The sequence below is a fragment of the Homo sapiens genome, chromosome 1, assembly GCF_000001405.40.
Source record: "Homo sapiens chromosome 1, GRCh38.p14 Primary Assembly".
Taxonomy (NCBI): Eukaryota; Metazoa; Chordata; class Mammalia; order Primates; family Hominidae; genus Homo; species Homo sapiens.
Genome location: NC_000001.11, coordinates 216,989,712 through 217,015,566, shown reverse-complemented (window position 1 = coordinate 217,015,566; position 25,855 = coordinate 216,989,712). Strand labels below are relative to the sequence as shown.

Sequence of the window (25,855 nt, the reverse complement as noted above, 5' to 3'; positions counted from 1 at the left end):
AGGAAATTTCCATGTATCAGGATGACATAAACACTTAGAGCTCCTGTGTAGAGAAAAACAACCCTATAAACCTCCTCCAATGGAATGATGAAAGAAAAGATACTAGTTTGAGCCAAGTTTCAAGGAAATAAATTTATGTTTTATATATTTTACTTTGTCTAAACTATGAGTTTAATTCTTGTTTAGGTAGTGTACATCTGAAACATTATTAAGGTGAAATTTTGCTTTTCCAGCAGTGTCTGGATGATGGCCCTTAACAAATGCAAAATTGGACATTCATGTAAAAGGAAGCAAAGAAAGACCAGTGAAGAGATGGTAGAAATTGAATGCAGCCAGAAAAACACAAAATAATGCAAACAATCAGCCCCTGCACTATTTTCAGAAATCCAGAAGCTAACCTATATGGGGTTCTGCACTGTGTGGGTATGTGGAGTAGTATAGGGAGGTACCTGTTGTCAAGAAAAGAGATGATTGGATTCGGGTTCATAGAAAGCTGAGTTTAGAGAAGGGTTGATCTTCTTTATTTTCAGAGCAGATTGTTCAATGGGGTTTCTGCTTTTTTTGGTCATTTTTCTAAGTGATGCTTGGAATGTATTCAGAATTCAATTGGTTTGGGAGCTGTAATGAATCGCTGTGGAATGAGCAACCTGAGAAATAGAAGATTTGGGGCTGATTAGGATTTGATGTAGAACTCCTGCATCTTATTTAATCATCTACTCAAATCTCCAAGAGGCTACTAAAGGTAGAGAATAAATAAATGAATAGAGATAAAAATAATTGAACCCAACTTAAGTCTAAGATAACTTATATGCTCCTCTTTTAACTTGCATGTATTTTCTCATCTCCTGAATTTCCTCTTTAACATCCTAAGATGAAGAAGTTGCCCAGTAAATAAAGCACCAGGATGGAGCTTATAGGTCGCCCAAGTCCATGGTCACACTAGTTGAATGTTTCTTTGGGATGACTGTTGGATGCCTTTTATTACTTTGATTTCCTTACCTGTATGATTTTATAGAGGACCAGTATCATAGGGGAAATGTGGAGAGCAAACAACCAATGAGAGAAAGCCATATTGGAAAGCACTTGTTTTAAAGAAAAAAGTTATGAATCCATATGCAGAACAGAGCAGTACAGAATGAAAACTATTGCAGGTTTTGATAGGTATGTTAGAAAAGAGTCACTGAACAATTTCCTATTAATTCTGGGGCACTTATACTATTTTTAAAATATCCCACAAACCTTTGCCTGACAAAAGAAGAGTAGGAAATAAAGCCTTAGTCTCTGCAATGACAGCTGTTCCCATAGCAACCTGTCTGTCAGTCAACACCCACTTCATCCAGCTTCAGAAAACACCCCCAGAAATAAATGTCAAAAGTCTTATGCAGGTTCCAAATTTAAATCAAACTTTAAAATAAATTAAAATAAGAACCCAAACACCCACAGCAGTCACAAAAGTAAATTTTGGAAGGAGGGAAAGGGGGTAAAAAACAAAGGTCAAAGGAATCCTCCAAGCAGATGCAGGAAGTCAAAGAAGGGTGGATAGGCACCCTTCACTCCTTTTGGAGCATTGCTCTGATAAAGCATTATTTACCTAGGTGGGCACTAAATGCAATCCGTTCATATCTTGTTCCTCTTGCTTTAATAGTTGGCTTTCATTTTCATGATCATCAAATCATATTTACCCTCCTCATTCACTCTGGTGTGCTAATGTTTCAGCCCCTCATTTTAATGGTAGGAGGTAACAAGATTCTAATTACCAGTCAGGGAGCACTGTGCTTGGCCACTCTTTCAGGGGGGATGACATTTAGCTAATAGTGACTGGCCCTTCTAGCAATTAAAATGATCTCACATGCCATCCTTAGGTCCTGTGTTGCTAATGTATACTTCAAAAAGTAAGCACTAAACAATCTTTTATCCAGAGATGAAATACATTTAAAGCCTAATGTCACACTTCAGGGGTAAGTGATAGGTCTTAACCTCTCTTTTCTGTGAGCCCTAAATTATCTGGCAGAGAGGCATTTAAAGGAACTATAGATTGTCAGAGATTATGGACTGTCTGTCCTTCAAAAAGCTGTAATGTATTGAGTTTACTTGTTCAAATGTCCATGGACATGGAAGCAAAACAACAAAAGTTATGCAATTTTACATTATTCTTTGCCAAATTTATACTTGTTACTTAACATCATGTTAGTTCTCAATCTGTTTTTTGCATTAGTGTAATGCAGTCTTCAAACACCCCTTTGACATCCTAAGGTAATATCTGCTTTGCTCAGTGAACTAATGGTCACCTTAGCTGCACATACTTTTTCTTAGCATCTAATAAAGAGAGCTGCTTATAGTTTTGTTATGGGTTGAATTGTATACTCCAAGAAAGATATTTTGGAGTCCTAACCTCCAGTACAGAGGAATGTGATCCCGTTTGGGGATAGAGCCTTTCCAGAGGTAATCAAGTTCAAATGATGCAATTAGGGTGAGCTCCAATCCAGGATTATCCTCTTATAAAAAAGGAGAAATTTGGACACAGAGACAACATGCATAGAAGGAAGACATGATATGAAGAAACTCATGGAGAAGACAACCATCTGTAAGCCAAGAAGAAGAGCCTGGAACATTTTCTCACAACCCTCAGAAGGAACCACCCCTATCAACACCTTGATTTTGAACTTCTGAGTTGTAGAGCTGAGATAATATATTACTGTGGTTTAAGCCACTCAGTTTGTGGTACTTTGTTACAATAGCCCTAGGGCAAACTATGAATAGAAATCCTGAGGATATAATACAGTAATATTCAAAGAACTCAGAAAAAAAAGGAGCAGGGATTCTTGCTCACTGGTCTGTGTATGAAATTAGCTTGAGAACTCTCTGGCCAAATTGTAGCTACTGAGGGCAAAGTGGGAGGCCAGTGGGGAGAGGCAGCTTGAGGAACCTGTGGAAGGAAAGGACGGAAGAAGTGTTCTTGTACTCTGTAATTTCCTTAGCCTAAACTTAGCCTCTGAGTTTGCCTTTTCTAAATTGCCAGTGTCAGTGTCATTTTCTTGCTATCAGTAACTCGAAACAAGGGTTTTCTAATACTATCTAGTTAGGAGCTATTTCAAATGCTATCAAGCTAGGTATGTAGCAGTAGCAGTTTCCAAGATAACAGGTGGGATTCATGAGCTTCTTTTTCCCACATTTTATGCATTGAGAGTTTGGGGTCCCTGTGATCACATCTTATCATTTTTATTATTTATATTTGCAGATATTGATTGCATACCTCTTATGGGCATAAACACTTTCAAGTTTTATTAAAATCTCAAATTCTCAAGGAAAAAGTCCTAAGTGCTGTAGAAATAGATGGGTTTCTCAGAAGACGGGCCAAAAGCCTTTAATGGCAATCCACTAGAATGACGGTGTCCACATCAGAGGCAGATTTATTAAGAAATGGATGAAACTCAAGCTCTAGGTCACCTCACTTTCATGGGTCCCCTCCAAAGTTTTACTTATTACTTTACATTTATATTTGTGTACTCATCTTCTTAAAAAGAGTCCCTTTTCAATTGCATGCATTTCAGATACCTCAAAGCCTGAATGTGTCCCTCATTGCAATGATGGTGGGGCTTCTAGGAATATGTAATCCTGCAGAGGGGGTACAAGCTAGCACGAAGAAAAGTGAAAACAAAGTTGTATACAAAACTCGGGGCTAAAGAGATAAGTAGTTCAAATTAGGTAAGTACTAAGAAACTAGACATCCAGGCTGAGGTGGGCCAGAGGGTGAGCCTGGGGACAGAGTAGCCACAAGAGGAGGAAGGCAATCGCAGCCTGAAGCTGGGAAGTCAGGATCACAGAGGAATCCCTGGGAGAATTTAGATTAGGAACTAGATATGAGGTACCCACAGTGAGGTGTGTGTTTGTGCATATGTGGACATTATGTCTTCTCCAAGACAAAACCAATCCCAAAGCAATCCCAGGCTAGTTTCTCGACTGGACCTACTGAAACGAGGAGTGAAGTTTTTTTTATTTCCTTGGGAGATTATCTAGCAAATGCTTTGCATGTAGGCAGCCAACTAATTAGCTAATGTGTAGAGGAAGCGGGATAGTATGCAACCATTTAGCCACTCATAGCCTCTGTTCCCTCCAGAGCCAGTGCAATGATTCAGCTTAATTCACAGTTTACCAAGTCACCACTCAGACTAGCTCCAAGGAAGGCCAGCCTTGGTTTCTAGCATTGTAGTGTCCACCAATAAACCTGTTTATTGAATGTCAGACAACTCTCATTTCACTTGGGACTTCCTTTTATGTTCCCCACAGAACCTAAAATCAGGAGAAACAGGTTTGGAAGACTGATTTTATAAATCACATTCACTTGGCATCTTTTAGTGATAGTCAGGCAATGTGTCATTTTTTCTGTAGAGTGTGTACGCAGCTGGGAAATGAGTTATTTATAATAATCAGACTTCACACATATGTACACATTTGCATAGTAAGCAGATCATATGGTACTATGAGTTGATGGCGTTTGGTGGTAACCTTGGTATCGTCAGTATATCTAAGCAGTTAATGTGGCTTGTTGGAATTTGCAGGCTGTTGCCCATGAATATTTTAGCCTATTGGTGCTGCAACCTGTCTACCAGAGATGAAAGGCATTTTAAGATCTAATCTGTCTCAAGGGATGGGTAAGGAGGTAAGGGGCTAATATTCTATAGAAGAGAATTAAACTTCCCTATCCTCTTAATTTTCCTACGTTAGCTTCCTGGTCTACACACAGCTACCTTAATCATGTTTCCCATAATTTTCCATTCAAGGTCATTGTTTTCCTGGTCTTTGCCTGTTTTATTCAAAGTCTCTTGGCCTCTTCAGATAGTCATTCTATAGCTTCTTTTCACGGGGCCAAATTTGGTGTGGAGTTACATCTCCATCTTTCATTTTGTACCTTTGAATGAAAAGATAACCTCTGACAAGGCTCAGTTCTTTATGAAGATCACTGTCAAGCGCATTGCTTGATGCATGGCATATATGTGGGAGAATTCATTTGAACAGATTTTCTATCAAAGGATAAATACACCCGCAAATCACAATGGTAATCAGAGCCAGCCACCTCATTTCTGATCATTTTACAAATCAGTTGGTCTTCAGAGATGAGTCAACATGACACTGTTCCCACACTGAGTTGTTTTGGCTGCAGGGGTGGGGTTGCTTTTCACTCTTTCTCTTTAAAAATTTCAGCTGCATTTGTGAGTGTTTTCATCCTTTGCTAAAATATGTTTTTAAAAATGTGATTAACAGTCATTTTCAGACCCAGAAATTGGCTCTCTTTTGCCAAAGAGACACAGCATGAAGAACAGGCAAACAGCAAAATAATGCAAGAGGGTATGTTTATTCATCAGAAATTGTGTTAATGACTACATCTGCCCCTCTCATTTTGGACTGGCTGGGATCATCTCTGCACTTCTGATTTGCTGATGTTTCCCCCTACAGTGAAATCTCTTCGTATTGTACTCCATCAATAAAAAAGTGCCCATGGCTAGTCTAATGTTTATGCTCTGAGTGTAAGTTAGAGCAATTTAAAATTTGAAAACTATACTCAGGCCGGGCGCGGTGGCTCACACTTGTAATCCCAGCACTTTGGGAGGCCGAGGTGGGTGGATTATGAGGTCATGAGTTTGAGACCAGCCTGGCCAAGATGGTGAAACCCCGTCTCTACTAAAAATACAAAAATTAGCCAGATACGGTGGCAGGCACCTGTAATCTCAGCTACTTGGGAGGCTGAGGCAGGAGAATCATTTGAACCCAGGAGGCAGAGGTTGCAGTGAGCCAAGACTGTGCCACTGCACTCCAGCCTGGGTGACACAGCAAGACTCCATCTCAAAAAAAAAAAAAAAAAAAAAGAAAAAGAAAAAGGAAACTATACTCAATGGGATATGCTCATGGGAGACATGGATGTAGAGGTCTGGCACTCCCAGTGTTCCTTAAGCAAACTTTCAGGCCTAAAGCATTCTTGCCAAACACCATGAACAATAGACAATGAAGCTAATGTAGTAGCTGCACATCATGGAACAATGGGAAGTTTTATGCTTGTTTTATAGCTTGCCATTTTAATTGTTTATGATTGTTTACTTTTCAAATGAAATAAAATCGTGAGCTTATTTGAATGACTTGGGCTGTCCCTCTGTGTCTTTTGGAATTGAGAGCTTTAAGCCTCAAAGCCAGTGATCTGATCCCTTAAAGGTGTGGCATCCCTTGTAGGCAAGTCTCAGCAAAAATGTACATTATCTACCATCCTATGGAATGAATTTTAAAGAGCAATCTTCAATATTGTGCATTAAAAAAATAAGTCGACCAATATATAGATCCCGCTGTGGGCCCTGCATTGTGCTGGGTGCTGTGAGAGCGGTAAGGGGGTAATACCTGGTTTCAAGCATGTAGCATTTAGATGGATCAGATTGACTTGAGCAGGAAGCATTTTAGTAACAAGGAAGCAAGGTGAAATTACGGAGATGCAAGTGAATGTGACATATTGAGCTGTAAAATATTTTTTACCATGAAGAATGAGAATATTTTCACTGCTTCCAAATAAATTTCTGGACATATACAAAAATAATCCCCTCAAATATGATCACATCAGGTGATCTTGAAATCTGGCCACTAAAATCTCTGATTAAAGTCTCAAGATGGTGTTTCTTCAGTTTCTAAGCCCTGCAGAATATACCTGGTTTTTGGTGGGAAGACGTTCATTTAGCTAGCAGTTAGTTGGGGAATGCTAGTCTATTTAACTAGGTCTCTTTACCACAGAAGCAAGTGGAATTTGTTTCAACTCAATCACAGTGCAAAACCCTGCAGGTGTGGACTTAAGTGGTATATCAAGAGCCACTGTCCCTGATTAATAAAATAAAACCTTTAAGATTTCTTGTAGTAGAAGTTGGGATGCTGCTTTACATGGCAACTTGTCACAGATATCTGTGTTGCCCTTGGGGTTTAATTCATTATCAATATGTGTCTTCTCTGCTCTTCTCTCTACTCCAAGAGTTCTCACAGTCACTAGCAACACCAGCCTAGAACCTAGAGAGTGCAAACAATCTAAGTAAATGTAGTATGTTGCCTATGCCACTTCAAGGAAATCTTTCCCTACTGGTTGCCTTCTAATATTCCATTATGTAGATATTCTAGAGCAGTCACTGGAGTCCAGGGTTTGAATTCAGTTGCTAGATTATACTTTCGTTGAGCATATATTCTGACTGTGGAGAAATAATGTATGGAAAAAGCTCTGCATTTGCAATCAGAGGTCTATGTTCCAGATCTTAGTTCTGCTACTGAGCTTTGTAACCTTGAACAATCCTTTTGCTAAGAATCAAGTTACTCATCTGTAAAATGGGGAGAATAATAGTTACGTTGCCCATATCTCACAGTGGCAGACAGCCTGAAAGGAATTAAAAGGTGTAAATGGTTTGCAGTGGTGAAGATTTTAATGTCTGCTGCACTGGGTTTAAAGTTTCTGTTGTTGTAGCTGTTGGTTTATCTTAATTGCCTAGTTCTACTTTAGGATACATTTGAGCATAGCAGATGAAATGTAAGACTATAATGTGAGACTAGACACACTGTGCAGAAGATCTGATGTCTGTGGATCCCTTTGATAGATCATTCTTCTTGTTTGTATTATGGCTCTTCTCTTGGACTCATCTCTTAATGCTCTTTCCTCCCCCTGCACCTGCTTCCACCTCAATTCCATAATTGGCTTGGGATTTTTCCCCCCTTATTTGCCTTTGACTGTCTAGCACCTAGAACAGTGTTTGGCATATAGTAAATGCTTAGTCCATATATAGTGAATAAGCATCAGAAGAAAAGAGGGAAGGGAGGAAGAAAAGATGGAAGGAGGAAGGAAGTCAGTCGGTCCAAGTAAAATCTTCTTTGATAGGTTTAGAAAGCTCAGTTTCATCAAAATAAATAGCTTAAGAATAAGAAAGGAAGGAGAAGAATTTTATGGAGACTGTTCTGATAATGATATTTACAAGACTGAAGTTTATTATTCTCTTATCCTCCAAAGGAAGTCATAAATGGTTTTTGACAATAATCGTTGCAAGTATTTTTAGACATTGAGCTGAGGGTGAGGATAATGTCCTTGAATTATCCAACAGCACCATAACAGTGTTTCAAAGTTTGTTATGAAAATGTCATTGACTTAGTGTTTCTTTCCTTCCCCTTTTCCCCCTTTGGAAGAAGAGACTAAAATTGTTGAGTTAGCAATAACATAGAAGTATGGGAAAATATTTTAAAATTTTAGCCTGGAACCATATGGTGATGGTGTTGGCACTGGCCCTCTCCCCCTTGACCCACATAATTTTCAGGAAAATTGAGAAGTCACATTCACATCTTAATGCTTTGGGATAGTAAAACAATCTACTACATTAGAATGCTGTATGTACATGTATATGGGGTGATGAAATATTCCTTTTGCTCTCATTGTGAGTATCCTGTAAATTTAATCTCTATCATCTCTGAACTCCTTACAGTCCTTTTAAAGATCTAAAGAAAAATCCTGATGGATTATTGAAAGCATTAAATCACATAGAATTAAAATAGTTTTTATAAGCCTTAAACTGGTGATATGATTTATAAAGTACTTATGGGGAAGCTAGCCTTTATCGCTGATGGCAATAAATAAAACAGCACAGCAGCTAAAAAATTACTTTGACCACAGTTCAGTTTACTAAATACAGGTGGAGCATGCCTAATCTGAAAATCCCAAATCCAAAATGCTCCAAAATCTGAAACATTTTGAGGGCCAACATGACACCACAAGTGGAAAATTTACACCTGACCTCATGTAATGGGTTTCAGTCAAAGCACAGTTAAAACTTTGTTTCTTGCAAAATAATTTAAAATATTGTATAAAATTACCTTTAGGCCGTGCATATAAGGTATATTAGAAACATAAATGAATTTTGTGTTTAGACTTGAGTCCCATTCTCACGATATCTCACTATGTATATGCAAATATTTCCAAATTCAAAAACATCCAAAATCGAAAACACTTCTGGTCCCAGGCATTTTGGAAAAGGGATACTCAACCTATAGTTAAAATTAATCTTTGTTATTAAGCCAGTTCCAACGTAACTGTAGTGCAATGTTGGCTCCACACAGCCTGTGAGACTTATTGAAGTTATATGTATATTGTAGTATATTGTGTACTACTATATAGACATAACTTAAGATTACTAATCCAAATTATTGATGGTGTTATTTGTAGAATTAAAGTTGTATATGTTGATTACTCAGATAAGCCTAACACCAATAATATTAAATAAAGACTATGGGTCTTTATATTACCTAATCATCATATTATTCAGTTACATTTTACTTTTTAACATTTTTAAGTGATTTATAAATTCATTCTTAGCATAACTTATGTTGAACATTGAGTGTATGTTTATTTTTCTACACTGTATTGTAGAATACACAAGAAGTCTGATAATAAGCCAAAAGGACTCATTCTATAAGTTCAAATTCTATGAGTTCAAAGCCATTCTATGAGTTCAAAGCCATTCCAATTCAAACTGGACTCAGTTGTGTTAGTTAATCATTAGTCTCTAGGTTTCAAGAGTGAACCAATTCTGTCCCTAATTATTAGTTATTGTTCTACTGTAAGTAAGTTGTTACATAGTTGGGATAAAATATCCATTAATAAAGACCACAGTGATTAACATAGTAATGAAGACTGGCTCTGAAGTTGACACATTAAAAGTAAGCGAAAGCACTTTTCCTATAAATTTGTATAGGCTACTTGACTTTAAAATGCTTAGAAAAAAAGAAGAGAGAATTTTGACATAGAAAGCTATGGTTTTAGACCTACTATTAAAAATTTTTTTCCTAATGGTCAGAAGAACCATTTAAGAACCAATGCTAATGTTATTATACAACATTGTTAGGGAGAATTTATGGTATTGTAAATGTGAGGTTATCTTTGGAGTTAAAACACAATAAACAGCAGAACTACCTCTTTGGTTGACTCTGACACTTTGAGAGGGAGAACATTACATAACAAGTCCTTCTATTAGTTGTCCTATCTGTTTAGCATTATCCTAAGTGTCTAAGAGTTCCCTGTTCTTTTAGAGGGCTTATCTGTGTATGCCAAGCAACAGTTGTGATTGAAATTTTTATTGATTTGGCTTATTGAGCTGGTAGTTGTCATGGGCAAACCTCCAATCATTTTAGCGCAGTGGAGAAAAGGCACCAGTCTTTGTTTTAATATGTAATTTACTGTCCAGCTTATGCCACTATTTAGCTGTGTGCTTGGACTAATCATCTACCGCTCTGGTCATGATTGTCCTTCAAAGGAGGTGGTTGGACCTGAATAGTTCTTCTCATTTAGAATCCTTGGAGGAAGTAATAGGGGAAAGACTCACTTTCAGTATTTAAAAAAGTCTAATGAAAATAAGACATAAAATCACAATATACACAAGCTAACTAAGACATCTCTTTGGTTTTGGTCTTGGTTTGGCTGATATAAACTCACCTCTCCCTTTTTGACAACACTGAGTTATCTTGTGCAAATCACAAATTCTGATCGGCAATAAATAGCTTTTTATTAATAAGAGTAGAACCATTATTACTAACTAAATGCAGTTTGATTGTCAAAAACAAAACAATATGACTCATGGGGGAAACCACTAAAAGGTATCAAGTGTCCTTGGTAGTAAAAAGTCCAAAGTCCCTTTTACTATTTTTAGTCCCGTGATTTCAAAGTGATATACCATTTATCATGGCAGCTAGATTCCAAAATAATATCATTCTCATTTCACAGGCACTATATATATAATGTGTCAAGCAGCATCATTCATGAGAATACATATTTTCAGAATAAATTAATTGATTGATATAGTTATACAGATTAATTTCTTAACCAGCACAATCTGTTTTCTTTCAAATAATTAGATTATATGCCCATGGCTTACCATATTTGGGGGGAACCTTGGGTTGGGTACTGTTTACTTCATTGTTGGTCAGTATATTAGTTAGTTTTCACGCTAATAAAGACATACTGGATATTGGGTAATTTATAAGGGAAAGAGATTTAATGGACTGACAGTACTACACGGCTGGGGAGGCCTCAATCATGGCAGAAGGCAAAGGAGAAGCAAGGGCATGTCTTACATGGTGGTAGGCAAAAGAGCTTGTGCAGGGGAACTCCCATTTATAAAACCATCAGCTCTCCTGAGACTTATTCACTACCACTAGAACAGTTTTGGGGAAACCATCCCCATGATTCAATTATCTCCACCTGGCCCTGCCCTTGACACCTGGGTATTATTACAATTCAAGGTGAGATTTGGGTGGGGACACAGCCAAACCATATCAGTCAGTAATCCATTCTTCTTTCTTTTAAAGTCCTCTCTAAAACTTGTGAAAACAGGCAGGATAAGTAAAAGAACTGGGAAAATATACTTCATCGTCTGTCAATTTTACGTTGTAGAAATGTAAACATTGTTTAATAACACAGTCTATGCATTGGTGAATATTGTAGATATTGGGATCAAGATTCTGGTAACTTCTCGCTCCCCTTTACCCCATAAGACAGTATGTTATTTATTTATGAGATTATGATTAATAAGATAATTATGAATATTCATTGTGAATCAAACCATATTTCCAAATTTGAGGTCACAAACTCAGTTAATTGTGCTATTGAATTAATGATGACTTCTTTTTTTTTTATTTTTTTGGTCCATCCATGTATGTACCCATATGTCATCTGGACATTGAAATTACATTTATGATGAAAAACAACAGACTGAAAATAAGTCTCATATCTGACCTAGTCTTAGAAGTCACACAAATATTATGGGTAATCTGATTGGGCAATGTGTTTATTTAGTTATTTCCTGTTTCCAAAATGTAAATGCCATTTCAGTGGCCAATAACAAATGAATTACTGATTGTAAATACTCTTGAGTTTGGTTAGCTCAATATTAGGCCTTATGTTAGTATTAATATTAATATTAATTAATATTAATACTTATTAATTAGTATTAATACTAATATTTCAAGCCTAATATTAGTATTAATATTAGCCATGAGACAAGCAAATAAAGCTTACATAATACATTAAATTATTATTTTTAGAGTATTTGTCTTTACAAAACAAACGTGGCCCAGATTCATTTTAAGAAAAGGGAAACTAATGTTTATTGAATAAAATTATTTTTTCATATTATCTCACTTAATTTTCTCAACAGTGTAAGCTAAGTATTATTTTCCCTGTTTTATAGGTTGAGAAACTGAGACTTGATTAGTTTAAGTAATTTGCTCAAGCTATTAAGTATGGCCATTATTCATATCCACTTTTTTCTGACTTCAAAGTCCATGCTTTCTCCAACATTATATCACTTCAAACCAGTACTTTTTCAATGTAATATCAGTCAAATGAAAGATTTTTTTTTGCAACTTCCTGATGTAGTTTTATCTGGCTGTGATCTTATTACTAAATGTTTAGTTGAGTTCAGAAATTCAAAAGCATATCTCACAAAAGTAAATGTTTTGAACAGTAGCTAACTGATGATCACTGTACAGATTATTTGGAATATAACAGTTATCTGCGCTTGAGTAACAAAAGCTTTCATGGCTTAAAATAATACTGAGGACTTTATTTATCATGATTTCTGTTGATTGGAAATTTAGAAGCAGCTTGGTTGGGCAATTCTGGCTCATGGTCACTCATGGGGCTGCATGTCACCAGGGGGTTGCAGTCACCAGTTGTTGGCTGGAGCTGCAGTCAAATGAAAGCCTGCGTGGGGCTGGAGGTTCCACTTCCAAGGTGACTTGCTCATATGGCTGGCAAATTGGTTCCTCTCCATGTGTCCCTCTCCTTATGGCACAATGGCTGTTTCTCCTAGAGCAAGTGATTCAAGAGAACAAGGTAAAAGCTATAATGCCTTTTATGACCTAGCCTTGAAAGTCACACACCATCACTTCTGCCATATTGTATTGGTCATACTGGCCAGCTGTGATTTACTGTTTATTCACTGTAAAGATGTGAATATCAGGGGCAAAGATCATCCTAGATGACCATGAAGGCTGATTCCTACAGTATTAATATACTGTATATGTGTAATTTTATAGATAACTGTCAGAATCAACTCCTTAATTTTAATGAGTAGGGAATAAAATCTAAGCCCATATAACTTTAGGGACGGATCTGCCCTAAAATAAATATTATACAATGTGCATAATCTCTGTTTCTTTCTTTTCTTTTCTTTCTTTCTTTTTTTTTTTTCTTTCTTTCTTTTTTTTTTTTTTAGACAGAATCTCACTCTGATGCCCAGGCTGGAGTGCAGTGGCACTATCTCGGCTCACTGCCAGCTCTGCCTCCTGGGTTCAAGAGATTCTCGTGGCTCAGCCACCAGGGTAGCTGGAATTACAGATATGTACCACCATGCCCAGCTAATTTTTGTATTTTTAGTAGAGATGGGGTTTCGCCGTGTTGACCAGGCTGGTCTCAAATTTCTGGCCTCAAGTGATCCACCAGACTCGGCCTCCCAAAGTGCTGGGATTACAGGTGTGAGCCATCATGCCCGGGTGCTCCTTTCTTTAAAAAAAAAATTATAATGGTGCCAAACTTATTAGCAGTTGGAGATTTGAGCTGGGATTGTGAAGGTCCATTTCCATGTGCTGAACTGGCTTAAGCTATCAATTCTTGGCCTTTCACTTTTGATGTACAAATGACTTTTAAGGTAAAGAGATTTTAAAACAAAAGTCTGGTCATTCTCTCTGTTCAAAATGCTGGTATGGTTCTCCATTTCCTTCAGTAAAAGTCAAAGTCTTTGTAGTATCCAAGAAAGCCTTATGTGAACCGGCCCCTACCTCCTCCCTGACCTCCACTCTAACTCCTCTCCTCTCATTGTCTCTGCCCCAGCCACCTTGGCCTCTTTGCTATTCCTTGAGCTTACCAGACTTGCCGTTATCTTAGGGTTTTTGCATTGGCTGTTTCCTCTACTTGAAATATTCTTTATATATATTTCATGATCAACGCCTTTTGTAATTTAAGTCTTTTCTCAAGTGTTACATTTTCAATGAGGTCTATATCCACTACCCTATTTAAACCTAAAACAGTGAACATGAGACAGAATATGTGTTCAAAAATTGTGTGTGATTGAATGAAGGAATTATTAATGGAAGAGTAGGGAAAAGCTGCGGCTGCTTTTTACTGCCCAAGGCAGTTTGGTATCATCCACGTGACTCATTTTCAGACTCTGGTGCTTGCAAAGGGTCTGTAAAGACGGTAATCAAGTGTGGATTTGCTTTATTTCTGTGGGAGAGTTCCTGTCATTCAGAAATAAGCACTGTGTCCATTCCTATATCTTTACAGAGTTCCAGCATAAAAAAAAGAACCGAAGAAAAGAAGGCAGCTTCCACTAAGGTGTATTATAGTAGACAGGTTGATATTACTTAAAGGAAGAAATTAGTTGAACCATTTCTGTAGACATTAGACAAATTTTTTCACTCAGAGTTAAAAAGCAGCTTGGGAGTATTAAAGTATAGGGTGCTTGCATGCACTTTATGATGGTCTTAGCTTATGATCTTATATCACTTTTATTTCTCCATTAAATCAAGATGTATCTCATTGAGGCCACCATCCTACATGACAGCATGGTTCATTTTGGTGCCGGTGAACGGCATTGTCCCTGATTGAATGGAAAAGTGTATCTGTCTTTAACATGTGCATAGTGTGGATAGCTGGAGTTTCAATTGGCATGGAAGTCTATGGAACACACACAGAGTGCATAGGCCCTTGCTGCATGGGACCAATGCTTTGCTGAATGCCTGCCCTTTCTAACATGAAGCTGTGTCTTGTCTTTTTTCTGTGGGTTTCCAGTGACGATGTTGCTACACGGTCCTTCACTTGGAGTTAGTGCAACAAGGAGACATCTGAGCTTAAAATTTATGAAACATCTAAAGAAATCAAGCTTTATATAGGATCACCGTTGTGGGTTGAATTGTGTATCCCCAAAAGATGTTGAAGTCCTGACCACCTCCCTATACCTTACAATATAGCCTTTTACGGAAGTAGGGTCTTTGCAGAAGATCAAGTTAAGATGAAATCATTTGATTGGGCCCTAGTTCAATATATCTTATGTCCTTATAAAAGGAGACAATTTGGACACAGGGACAAGGGGAGAATGCCACATAAAGATTGGAATTATGCTGCCATAAGCCAAGGAACTCCAAAGATCGCTGGCAAGCTGCTAAAAGCTAGCACAGATTCATGGAACAGAGTCTCCGTCATAGCCTACAAAAGGAATCAACCCTGCTGACATCTTGATTTCAGACTTCTAGCCTCCAGAACTGTGAGACAAATTTCTGTTTTTTAAGCCACTGGTTTGTGGTACTTTATTATGGCAGCCCTAGCAAACTAATACAATAACTGTTCGCTTACGTATAATAAGGCAAGCATTAAGCAGCATTCAGATGAAAACATAGCACTCCACTTAGTACATTTTACATGTAAAAAATCTTGGGGATAAGCAAAGATGTATGAAATAGATTATGCTCTTTTAATGAAGTCACTGTTTAGCCCACATTTCCATGGAATGCTTATTAATTAACAATAGCTTGATACTGGTGTATCTGCTACAGAATAATAGTAGATACTGTTTGAGAATTGGAACAGAAGCATAAAGAGTTTCCCCTTTTAGAAACAAACATGGGAATAGTCATGTCTAATCTTTTCACATTGAAGATGCAAGGGTTGAGTGGTTTGCCATGGTCAGAACACAGAAGCTAAGAAGGAGGCTTATCAGTTTATCTCAGAATCAATCTGAGATTCTAAACCACCCTTTTTTAAAAAGCAAAAACAAAAACAAAAATACATTTCTTCTCACAAACTATGAATCATCACAGAGTAACTACTCAACCAATGTTTGCTGAACGAACAAGCGAATCTACAGATTTTTCAGCCAGGGTGTTGGTAAAATACTGGATCTTTTTTAGTTTTTTAAATCCATGTCACATACCTCTTGAACTAGGAAGAAAAATGAGAAATTTGGAGTCCGATAGACCTGGGATGGGCTTGAATCCCAGTGTATCCATAGCAGCTGTGTAAAGTTGGTCTGATTAACTCCTCCAAGTCTCAATCACATCCTCTCCATAACAGAGAAAAAATACCTTGAAAATATTTTGTAAATATGAGATAATGTATGTAATGTATTGAGCACAGTTCCTAGCATGTATGTGCTTGATAAAGAGTGGCTCTTTTGATTTAAGTATCCTTATGGATAGTACCCATAACAACAATATCTTTACATACACCTAGACTGTGCTGCCACTGTGGCAGGTACATGTGAGTTGGCTTTGTAAAAATAATGATAAGATGTGAACCCAGTTTCAGCTCTTGTCTTCCCCTAGTCCTCCTTTAACACAAGAACTGGGCATACAGATTCAGGTAATTGGGGCTGGGCATGCAGTCTGTGGTCCAGAGAGGGCAAAACTAAATAGTTCACCCAAGCCACTGATCCACAGCATTCTCTTTTCTGACATATTATTGTACTCAGGCCCAGGAGAGTCACAAATAATCACAAGAAATAGGACCATGCTGTGTGTGATTACCTCAGTAGTATGCAGTAGAAGTGGCACACTAACTCCAGCCTATGGTTCATGGGTTATATGAACCACGCAAATGTGAATGTCCATGTTTCATTATCTTTTCTGAAATCTCATTCAAAGGGTGGACATCACCTAGGTGCTCTCAATGGCCATTTATAATTTTGTCATAAGATTTTATAAATTGTATAAATTTGTTGAAATGTGTTATAAATCCATTTATATTCTTCTTACTTGTCCAATACCTTGGAATTTATGAGATATAGAATTTTATTTCACGCTGTGTGAAGGAATATTTCTAATTATCTCTTATAAATAGCAATTAGGGTTATCCTCATATATGCACATTGCTGAGATTAAAATCACTGAAAACCAGTTCTTAATTGTGATAACAGAAATAACAAAATGTAAGCAAAATGCTAAATTATGTAGGGATAATTAAATGATAACAATATTATAAGTGGATTTATATTTGCAAAAAAGAAGTAATGTCTAGATAAAATATGCCATCATGCCATCTTCAAAGCCTATTTTTAGATTGCTATCACTCCATGAAATGAGGATGGTATAATACAATGATAATATGATTGTCCAATGTTTGTAGGCAAACAACACTGGCAAAGGTGTAGAGAAAGAATGTTGTTAACATTCAAAATTTCATTTTTAGTTTCTTTTGTCTATTTGTCTAATTTTTTCCTGGAGCTTTAAGAAGTAGAGAATCATAGACAATGTTAATATCTATTTTCAGATAAAACATCTATTTGACATTTTAGGTGTTTAGTGTTTCTTGCATTTTATTATCAGAAACAATGGCTTGAAAACAGGGTCTTTGTTTCACAAGAGGTTAGCTGCTTCTACTTGAAATCACAATCCTTTGTGATTTTAAAATTAGCTCCTTAGCCAGAGCTATGATGTCACCAAGGTGCAGAAGAAGCAGTAGTAAGTAGCAAGTGGATCAATCCTTAGGAAACAAAGATCCTGTTTTCATGCAAATATCTTTCACAGTTAAAAAAGGGAAGAAAAAAAATTCCTGAGCATGGGTGAAAGAGTTATTGTTTGTACATTTTTACAGAAATTGCTGAAAGCGATTTAGCCATGCAAACTAATGACCTTTACAGTTCTCTCAAGGTTAATGGGGTCCAGGAAAATGGTAATGTAATAATTTGGGTTCCTTGGATGTCCCAGTGACTTGTCTGTTCCTTATATTTGCTAGCATTGTATGGTGGAAGAGAATAGTGTTCATTATAAAATGTATTTGGAATCCTCTGTCCCTATTTTAAACGCTTTTCCGTATAGAATAGCAAAAGTATTTAGGAAAGATGACCTCAGTGGGAAATTTTGTAAATTCTCTCTTTATGCAAATTAAGTAGGAAGCTAAAATTTGTAGCCCAAATGTAAAATAGTAAAGAGACTTTGTTACAGAGAATCTATAATGTAACAACTCAAAGTCTAAGACAGTCATAACCAGGAAACATCAAAGGTTGGGGACTCAGTAGAACCATGTTCCTGCAATATGTACCTTAAAGGCCTCCCTCATGGGCAAAGGGAAGCTGTTCATTCTTTTTCTGTACATCTGGGGAGGAAAAGCCAGACATTGGTCTGTTTCACTGCATGCCAGGCTGCTAAATGAAGTGGCTGCTAGTTCCTTGCAGGAATATCCTGCTAGCGGCATGTTCTGCAGGGTTGTCTTTAAGGAGCTCTTGAGAGGCCAAGTGTTTTGGTGTTATCAAGAGGGGCTCATTATACCGAGGGAATCAATTTAGAATGACTTTAATGGGACTGGGAGTCAAACTGCAGTACAGCCCTATGACAAAGAGAATTTAAAGTACCCTGTATTTATTATGCCTTTCTCTCTTTAATTATGTCTGTCTTTAATATTCTACTGTTAGCTCCTTTAATGTTTTTCTTCTCCACGTTTTTGGCATTTTTATGATTTGCAGTTCCATTCTAAATGGGCACATGTCATAATGTCATCTAATTCTATTGAGAAAAATGCCCGTTTCCTGTGGCTTTTGGCCAAGACATACTATTACTTTTGATTTTGATTTTTTTTCACAGATTATGTAGCCTGTGCAATATAAAGTAAAAGATTCTTTCCAACTTGCAAAAGATATTTAATGCTTTCTTTTGCAGTCTCATTGGGGCCATAGGTTGTGTGTCTTACAGTCAAATTCTTAACACCTAATGTAGTGTCTGCTGGCCCACTGAGAGTGTTTAGTGAATATTGGCTGAATGAATGAATGAATGATATTAGCATTCAGATTATTCTTCATATTGCTATAATAGTGTTTTGCTCTCCATTGACAGGATTAGGGGAGGACTCAGCACTTTTTGAGTATAATGCATACAGTATTATGAATATACAACGTGGTAGACTAGAATCAGATTGTAAATATTTTTACCTTTTTTGGCTACTCCTTGACTCTTTCTCACCTTTATTTCTCACCTTAACTTATTCATTTACTTATTTAACTTTCAAAATAAGGCCCCCAGTATGCATAAATTACTATATTCCATTTCTCCCTTTCCTTCTTTTTGCCTGTTATTTTTCACTTTTTTTCTCCTCTGATTTATCTATACTGTTACCTATCTTCTTCTCTGTTTTTCCTCCTCTCATCCCCTTACCCTATCCATTTTTCCCATTTCCATTCCTTGTTTTCCTTTAGTACTTACCATTTCTACTTCCAGTCCTCTGCATGTACACTTTTTATACTCTCCTTTTAAAATGTAACATATCATCTTATCTAACTCTTCCTCCTCTTTTTCCTCTTTGCCTTCTCTGTAAAGTCCAAAGAAGCAGAGACACAGTCATGAAAGAAATTATCCTAGACTATTCCCCCTCATTTTAAATCTGCACTCAGATTTGTTTATAGCAATCACTGATCCAATCTATTTCATTATCTTCAGGTAGGATCATGCCTAAAACTCTTTTAGCAAGGGGATAAACTGCCCTTAATTTTTTTTTTGTTAATAAAAGCCCTTCTACAAAGGTTATTACTTGATTTTCCTTTGTAACCCACATTTTGAATCCTGGAATTGAGTGGAGATTACAGCTCACTCTTCATTTCTGCTGTCCTGTTCTTTATGTGCATAGGAGTGAATGGCAAGAAAGAAAACACTAGAATGGGATCAGGACACAAGTTGGTTTATGATAGAACAAAAAGAATAGGACAAAATGTAGTCAGGAGATAGAGGAAATGGTGTAAGCAATTCTTAAAATTCTGACCTCATTTATTTATTCATATTATTACAATCTAGATATTACTAACCAGGGACTTGACAGTGAATAAGATTCAGATTCTGCCTGAAGGAGATTCTAGTATAGGTGGAAAGTGAAATGATAGGGCTATAAGAATAACACCCAACCTAGAATTTGGAAGGATCAGGATACCCTCTGGAAGAAATGACAGCTAGGTTGAGTCAAGAAGGATCATTTAACAGTAACTAGGGAAGCGGTAGAAAGTGGCAATTCATGCCTAGCCATTGGAAGCATGCTTCTTACAGGAATGACAATGAAGGAGCCCACAGGGGTGAAATCCTAAAAATCTTATTGGCTAAGCTAAGGATTAGGGACCTCATCCTGAAGGCAATGGAGAGCCACTGAAGGGTTTTAAGCAGAGGAGTGACATTTTGGAGAGACACTCTGGTAGTATCATGGAGAATGAATGGAGGAAAACCACAGATAGGCAACGGACAGTGAGGAAGTCGTTTCAGTCATCAGGGTGAGAGATGACAGTGGCCTTCCCTAAGGTGGTGATAATGCAAATAAGTGATGAATTCAGGGTATATAAAGAGAATAGAAGAACAGGGCATGCATATGTATTGGATGCAAGAGATGAAGGAGGGGCAGGGGTCAAGAATGGCCTTTGGTCTCCTGAGTCCTGAGGAAAGGTTCTATTTCAGAAGAGTCATCTCAGTCGTCTTTGATCTTTAAGTGCAGGCTAGTGTTCCTAAAAGCTTCCAGATTGACATCCCTGAAGACGAATGCCATCTTCTGTTTCATCACAGTAAACAGCAAAGCTGGCTTATGAAGGTGCTCTCATCTGTGTGCAGAAATCTGCACAGCAAGAGCAGGATCACTGAGGGTTGTAGGCAAATTTAGAAGTTGTTGGACGGGGCCGGGCACGGTGGCTCACACCTGTAATCCCAGCACTTTGAGAGGCCGAGGTGGGTGGATCACGAGGTCAGGAGATCGAGACCATCCCGGTAACACAGTGAAAGCCCGTCTCTACTAAAAAAAAAATACAAAAAATTAGCCGGGCGTGGTGGTGGGCACCTGTAGTCCCAGCTACTCCGGAGGCTGAGGCAGGAGAATGGCGTGAACCCTGGAGATGGAGCTTGCAGTGAGCCGACATAGCGCCACTGCACTCCAGCCTGGGCGATACAGAGAGGAGTCTCAAGAAAAAAAAAGAAGTTGTCGAACGGTTAGGACTGAATTGAGTGTTGTCAAATACAAGGCCAATATATACTTTTTTACCGTCTCTTATGGATAAGCACAAAGTAGTTGTACCAGGATGTGTGTGTGTGTGTGTGTGTTTACACACATGGGTTTATATGTGTGTGCAGTCACATGTATCCGTGTGTGTGTTTGTGCAGACAACACCCCTTCCGGGTGCCCCATCACTGGGAGGGTCTCCTTTAATGCCTCCAAGATGATGGTTGGTATTTGTAAAATGCATACCTGGGACTGGAGAGGAGCTACTAACTCATCTTCCACAAAAGTAAGCCAAACAATTGTCAGTTGAAATGATTTTTTTTCGCTGCTTAATGTCTAGACAAAATTTGAACTGGTGGCTTCAAAGTGAGTGACTCTATAGCCCATTACCAGTCCCCTGAGACATGTAATCTACTTTAAAGATACATTTTAAATAACCTACTATGGAAAATGTAGTTAGCAAGCTCAGAGATATGCTTACATTTAAGAACTCTCAGAAATGCACTTACAGATTTTTTAAAAAGTCTTTGCAAGGAGTAAAACGAGAATGAAAGAGATGATTCATTTTATTAGAGCAATTAAAACATTGGCTCCTGTTTTCATCCATCATATTCATGAAATAAAAATGTATTAGAGAAAAAGTGATATTTACCTGGAGATAAAATTTGAAGTATAAGGAAGATAAAAGTCCATTTTTCTGAAAGAAGTAACTGAAAATCTGCTATAGGCTATAATTCAGGCAGAACCTCATCATTATGGACCAGGAGCTGGAGTGAGATCATTGTGGAACAGGAGCCAGAGTGAGCGCAATCTCTACCCAATATTTTTTGAGCCACAAACCTAGCCAGGAGTGAGTCATTCAACAGGGTACCTCAGAGGTGGAGGGTCTTGGATATAAATGGGCAAGACTGCGGTACGGGAATATCTGTCACCTTAACCTTGGATCTGCCCTCATCATCTCCGGGTGAGTTCAAAGTAATGGAGGTATCTGATTCCGGTCTCTGCCTTAGGCTTTTTTCACACTGCAGGGATGCTTCAGGTGACTCAGAGATGGTTCTTAAATCCAACTGTCTCTGCTCCCAAACTCCAAATGATATAACTTTTTCTTCTTGGGTTGCATATAAGTTATATAAAAGTAGCATGGAAAATGATTAATATGTGTGAATTTTGCTCATTGTGTTTCCTGAAAATAGGCAAGTGAAGTGAGAAGTGGAGATTTCAGTTGTGCCATAGAAAGGTAGGAGAAGGAGGGAGATGGTGAGGGAGGAGGGCTTTCTCTCACCTTTTTGTTTATTCAACACATGTTTGCATGAGGTACCAGGAAGAGTATGAGACTTAGAGAAATGTAGGTTCAATTTCTTGTGGCTAAATATACTACTTTGCAGAGTTGTTTTAAAGTGTGAATAAAATAACTCATTCATTCATTCATTCATCAACTACTTGTTGAATTTCTACTAATTGCTAAAGATCTAAGAGTAAACAATGAAGTTAGAGCTCCTACTTTTTTGAAACTTACATTCGGGTTGGTAGAGCTAAACCTAGTAAACAATTGAAACAAATATATCAGTGGGTGGATGATAAAACAAGGTGAGGAGTGAGAGGGATCAAATGGAGGTGATATTTTAGATGGTGATTATAGGAAGCCTCTTTGATGTGGGAGGTGACATTGTGTAGTGACTTGCTGAACAAAGACGGAAGGACATAATGAGGCATCTGGCACCATGGTTAGCACTTAATTAATGGTAACTATTGTTATAATCACTGTCATCATATTCTTTGATAATAATGGTATACATTAAGCCTGCATGAGCTTTGTAAATTTTGGGAATCTGTAAAGTATTATAGGGAGTTTGGTTTGCTTCAAACCAATATTGGAATTTGATATCTATGTTTACAAATAATTTTTATTTTCAGTCACAGTTTAACTTTGGAGATATCTAATAATGTTTAAAGGAAAAGTAACAAAAGCTGAGTGTTTTGTGTGGTTAAATATCTTACAACTTTCTCCCCCATTAATACAATTAAACAAACATTTTTTGATCATTTACTTTATGTCAGGCACTATGCTGGGTACTGAGGAACAAAACAATGTAAAATAAAATCTTTGCCCTCAGGAAGCTTATAATCTGATTTTATCTCTAATAATTCAAGACTCTTGCACTGTTTGTTTTAATAGAACTTGCAGGAGGGATTCAGATCCTGACAAGGCTCTGAGAGTTTAAGAACAGGTTGCATTTGAGTGTTAACTTTGATGTTTGTTTAGTTTTATAAAATATGTAAGAGGCTTCTCCATTAGTGAATAAGACTTTCAAAAAGCTTTCAAAATCTCATGTCATAAGTAGTTAAATATCACTGAAGGGGAGTCACAAAGACTGACAGCTTGGAAGCTTAAGCACTGTGTGTGGTTTAGGATGTGTGATCAAGGTGAAGCCCCCATTCCCATCTTAATTGAGGTTATGTAGGTCCAACCAATTCATTTGGTCTGAAAAATCCAGACTGCATGGGAATCCAAAATCAACTTGGCAACCCCCTATTATTTTTTGGCCTCTGAAAGCAGCGTATCACACACTGTCTGGTAAAGGTTAGGGATGAAAAATCACAGCCCAGGAGTATCCCAAGATGGAATGAAGTGGAACTTGGGCAAAGTGATTTACAACAGACACACATACATATGTTGCACATTTAGTGGCACAAATAAAACACGCCTGGAAATTTCTTTCTAGGGAGAATTCATGCTTATTTGCAGAATGTATAGTTTACATTGGGACCAAACATGGCTTGGATTCAGAGGCCTATTCTAACCTTCTCTAACATAGCCATGGCTTATCACACTCTACCTCCCTTTCCTGTTTCTTGTTCTTCAAGGAATATTCTATCCCATCCCATCCCATCCCATCCCATCCCATCCCATCCCATCCCATCCCATCCCATCCCATCCCATCCCATCCTATCCCATCCCATCCCATGCTATCCCATCCCAGCCTATCCTATTCTGCAGTTCTCTAATGGGAATATATTTACTTATCAATTAGCTATTTCCCCCATCAGATGTGTAAACCTCATGAGAGTGGACACTTTATCTTGTTCGTCTGTTCATCCAGTGCTTGGCCCAGAGTAGGCTCCCAATGAATATATGCCGAGTTAATAAGTTTTAGCAATGATGGATGATAACAGCAGCAGCAGCAGCAACAACAAAACGCTTGGGATTACCTAGACGTTGGCTGAGGACAGGAAAAATCCTGTGACATCAGAGCAAGGATTCTATGTTGGTTTCAATGGTACAGTATTAGTGCTCTTTATAGCAACAGTCCCCAACCTTTTTGGCGCCGGAAACAGGTTTTGTGGAAGATAATTTTTCCATGGATGGGTGGGGGATGGTTTTGGGATGAAACTGTTTTACCTCAGATCATCAGGCATTACTTCAATTCTCATAAGGAGCACGCAAACTAGATCCCTTGCATGAACAATTCATAATAGGGTTCATGCTTCTATGAGAATCTAATGCCACTGCTGATCTGACAGGAGGCAGAGCTCAGATGGTAGTGCTCGCCTCCCTGTCACTCACCTCCTGCTATGCAACCAGTTTCCTAACAGGCCATGGATGTATATGGGGTGGGGTTGGGGGGCAGTTGGGGACCCCTGCTTTATAGGACCACAGGAAATAGCAATACAGTACAATTGACCCTAGAACAATGCAGAGTTGAAAATCCACTTATAACTTTTTGACTCCTCTAAACTTAACTACTAACAGCCTACTGTTGACCAGAAACTTTAAAATAAACATGGTTCAACACATATTTTGTATGTTATATGTGTTATATACTGTATCCTTACAATAAAGTAAGATAGAGAAAAGAAAATGTTATTAAGAAAACCATAAGGAAGAGAAAATATATTTACTATTAGTTAAGTGGAAGGAGATTATCATAAAGGTCATGACTCCTGTCATCTTCACATTGAGTAGGCTGAGGAGGAGGAAGAGGAGGAATTGGTTTTGCTGTCTCAGGGGTGGCCAAGATGGGAGAAAATCCGCATACAAGTGGACCCACATAGTTTAAGCCCATGTTGTTCAAGGGTCAACACTATATGAAATTAACTCTTTAACTCTTTTTGCTAAACTTTAGGATACAAAAAGGTACTATGCACCAAATGTTTAAAAAATATATATAAATGAGGCTAAAACGTTGTTTGCATTGATTATTTTTAAAGTTATATGCTTTTTACTTTAAAAAAATATTTTTGAAATTTGGATAAGTAGTGCTGTTATTCAACTTTAACAATAGGACTCATTGGTTCAGTTTGGAAAACATCCATTTTTTAGGGTTGGGTTACACATTGATCAGCATCCATTTTTCTAGAAATGTTATCTTTGCCTGTCATGCCATCCCTTCACTGACACCACTGTGAAAATCTGAATGGTTTGACCCAAGAGTAGAACCATATTGGACAAATTTCTGGTGACATTCCTTTGTGAGTTCAGACAATTTTTTTTTGACTCTAAAGAATTGTTGGGTATAACGGAGAATTTCTCAGTGTTTCTGTAGATCATTATGTACCTTGTTAACCGTCCACATCTCAGCTAAGACACATTATAAAAAGCTCAGGTTATCTTTCTCTGTCTCCTCCCCCATGCACACTGTTCATTTAGACTAAAGCCAAGCCACTCATTTTAGAAAGTAAAGTTAGAAACTCATTGAAACATACCAACAACTAGTGATACAGAAGAACTTTCTTCTCACCAGGACTTTCCAGTGGAAAGTGCCTTGTAAATACCTATTGCTAAGCCATAGGTAGAAGCCCATGGAAACCAAGTCATATTGCCTGGAAAAAGGAAGCTGCAGGGACACACTTTTT

At 37.7% G+C, this 25,855-nt stretch overlaps 1 protein-coding gene across 37 annotated transcripts in view, besides 2 other annotated features; it reads left to right on the top strand.

Annotated features, from left to right (window-relative positions):
• ESRRG (estrogen related receptor gamma) overlaps positions 1 to 25,855 on the top strand; it is a 634,457-nt gene that overhangs the window by 122,136 nt on the left and 486,466 nt on the right. For 2 of the 37 annotated variants that reach the window (NM_001243507.2, NM_001243509.2), the window contains exon 2: positions 14,843 to 15,314. The exons of the other annotated variants lie outside the window; for them this stretch is intronic. The gene's annotated coding sequence lies outside the window, so the exon portion shown is untranslated. The remainder of the gene's footprint in view (positions 1 to 14,842; positions 15,315 to 25,855) is intronic. 37 annotated transcript variants of the gene reach the window in all.
• Positions 18,093 to 18,262: an enhancer, noted in NCBI's record as "experimental_4481 CRE fragment used in MPRA reporter constructs". NCBI's record gives its function as "activates a minimal promoter by MPRAs in K562 erythroleukemia cells, with activity observed for both the introgressed and non-introgressed 1:217170732 variant alleles {active_cell/tissue: K562}" and the evidence as "EXISTENCE:reporter gene assay evidence [ECO:0000049][PMID:34662402]".
• Positions 20,297 to 20,796: an enhancer, noted in NCBI's record as "H3K4me1 hESC enhancer chr1:217168113-217168612 (GRCh37/hg19 assembly coordinates)". NCBI's record gives its function as "activates a minimal SCP1, AML or CMV promoter by ChIP-STARR-seq in naive H9 embryonic stem cells {active_cell/tissue: H9 hESC(naive)}" and the evidence as "EXISTENCE:reporter gene assay evidence [ECO:0000049][PMID:30033119]".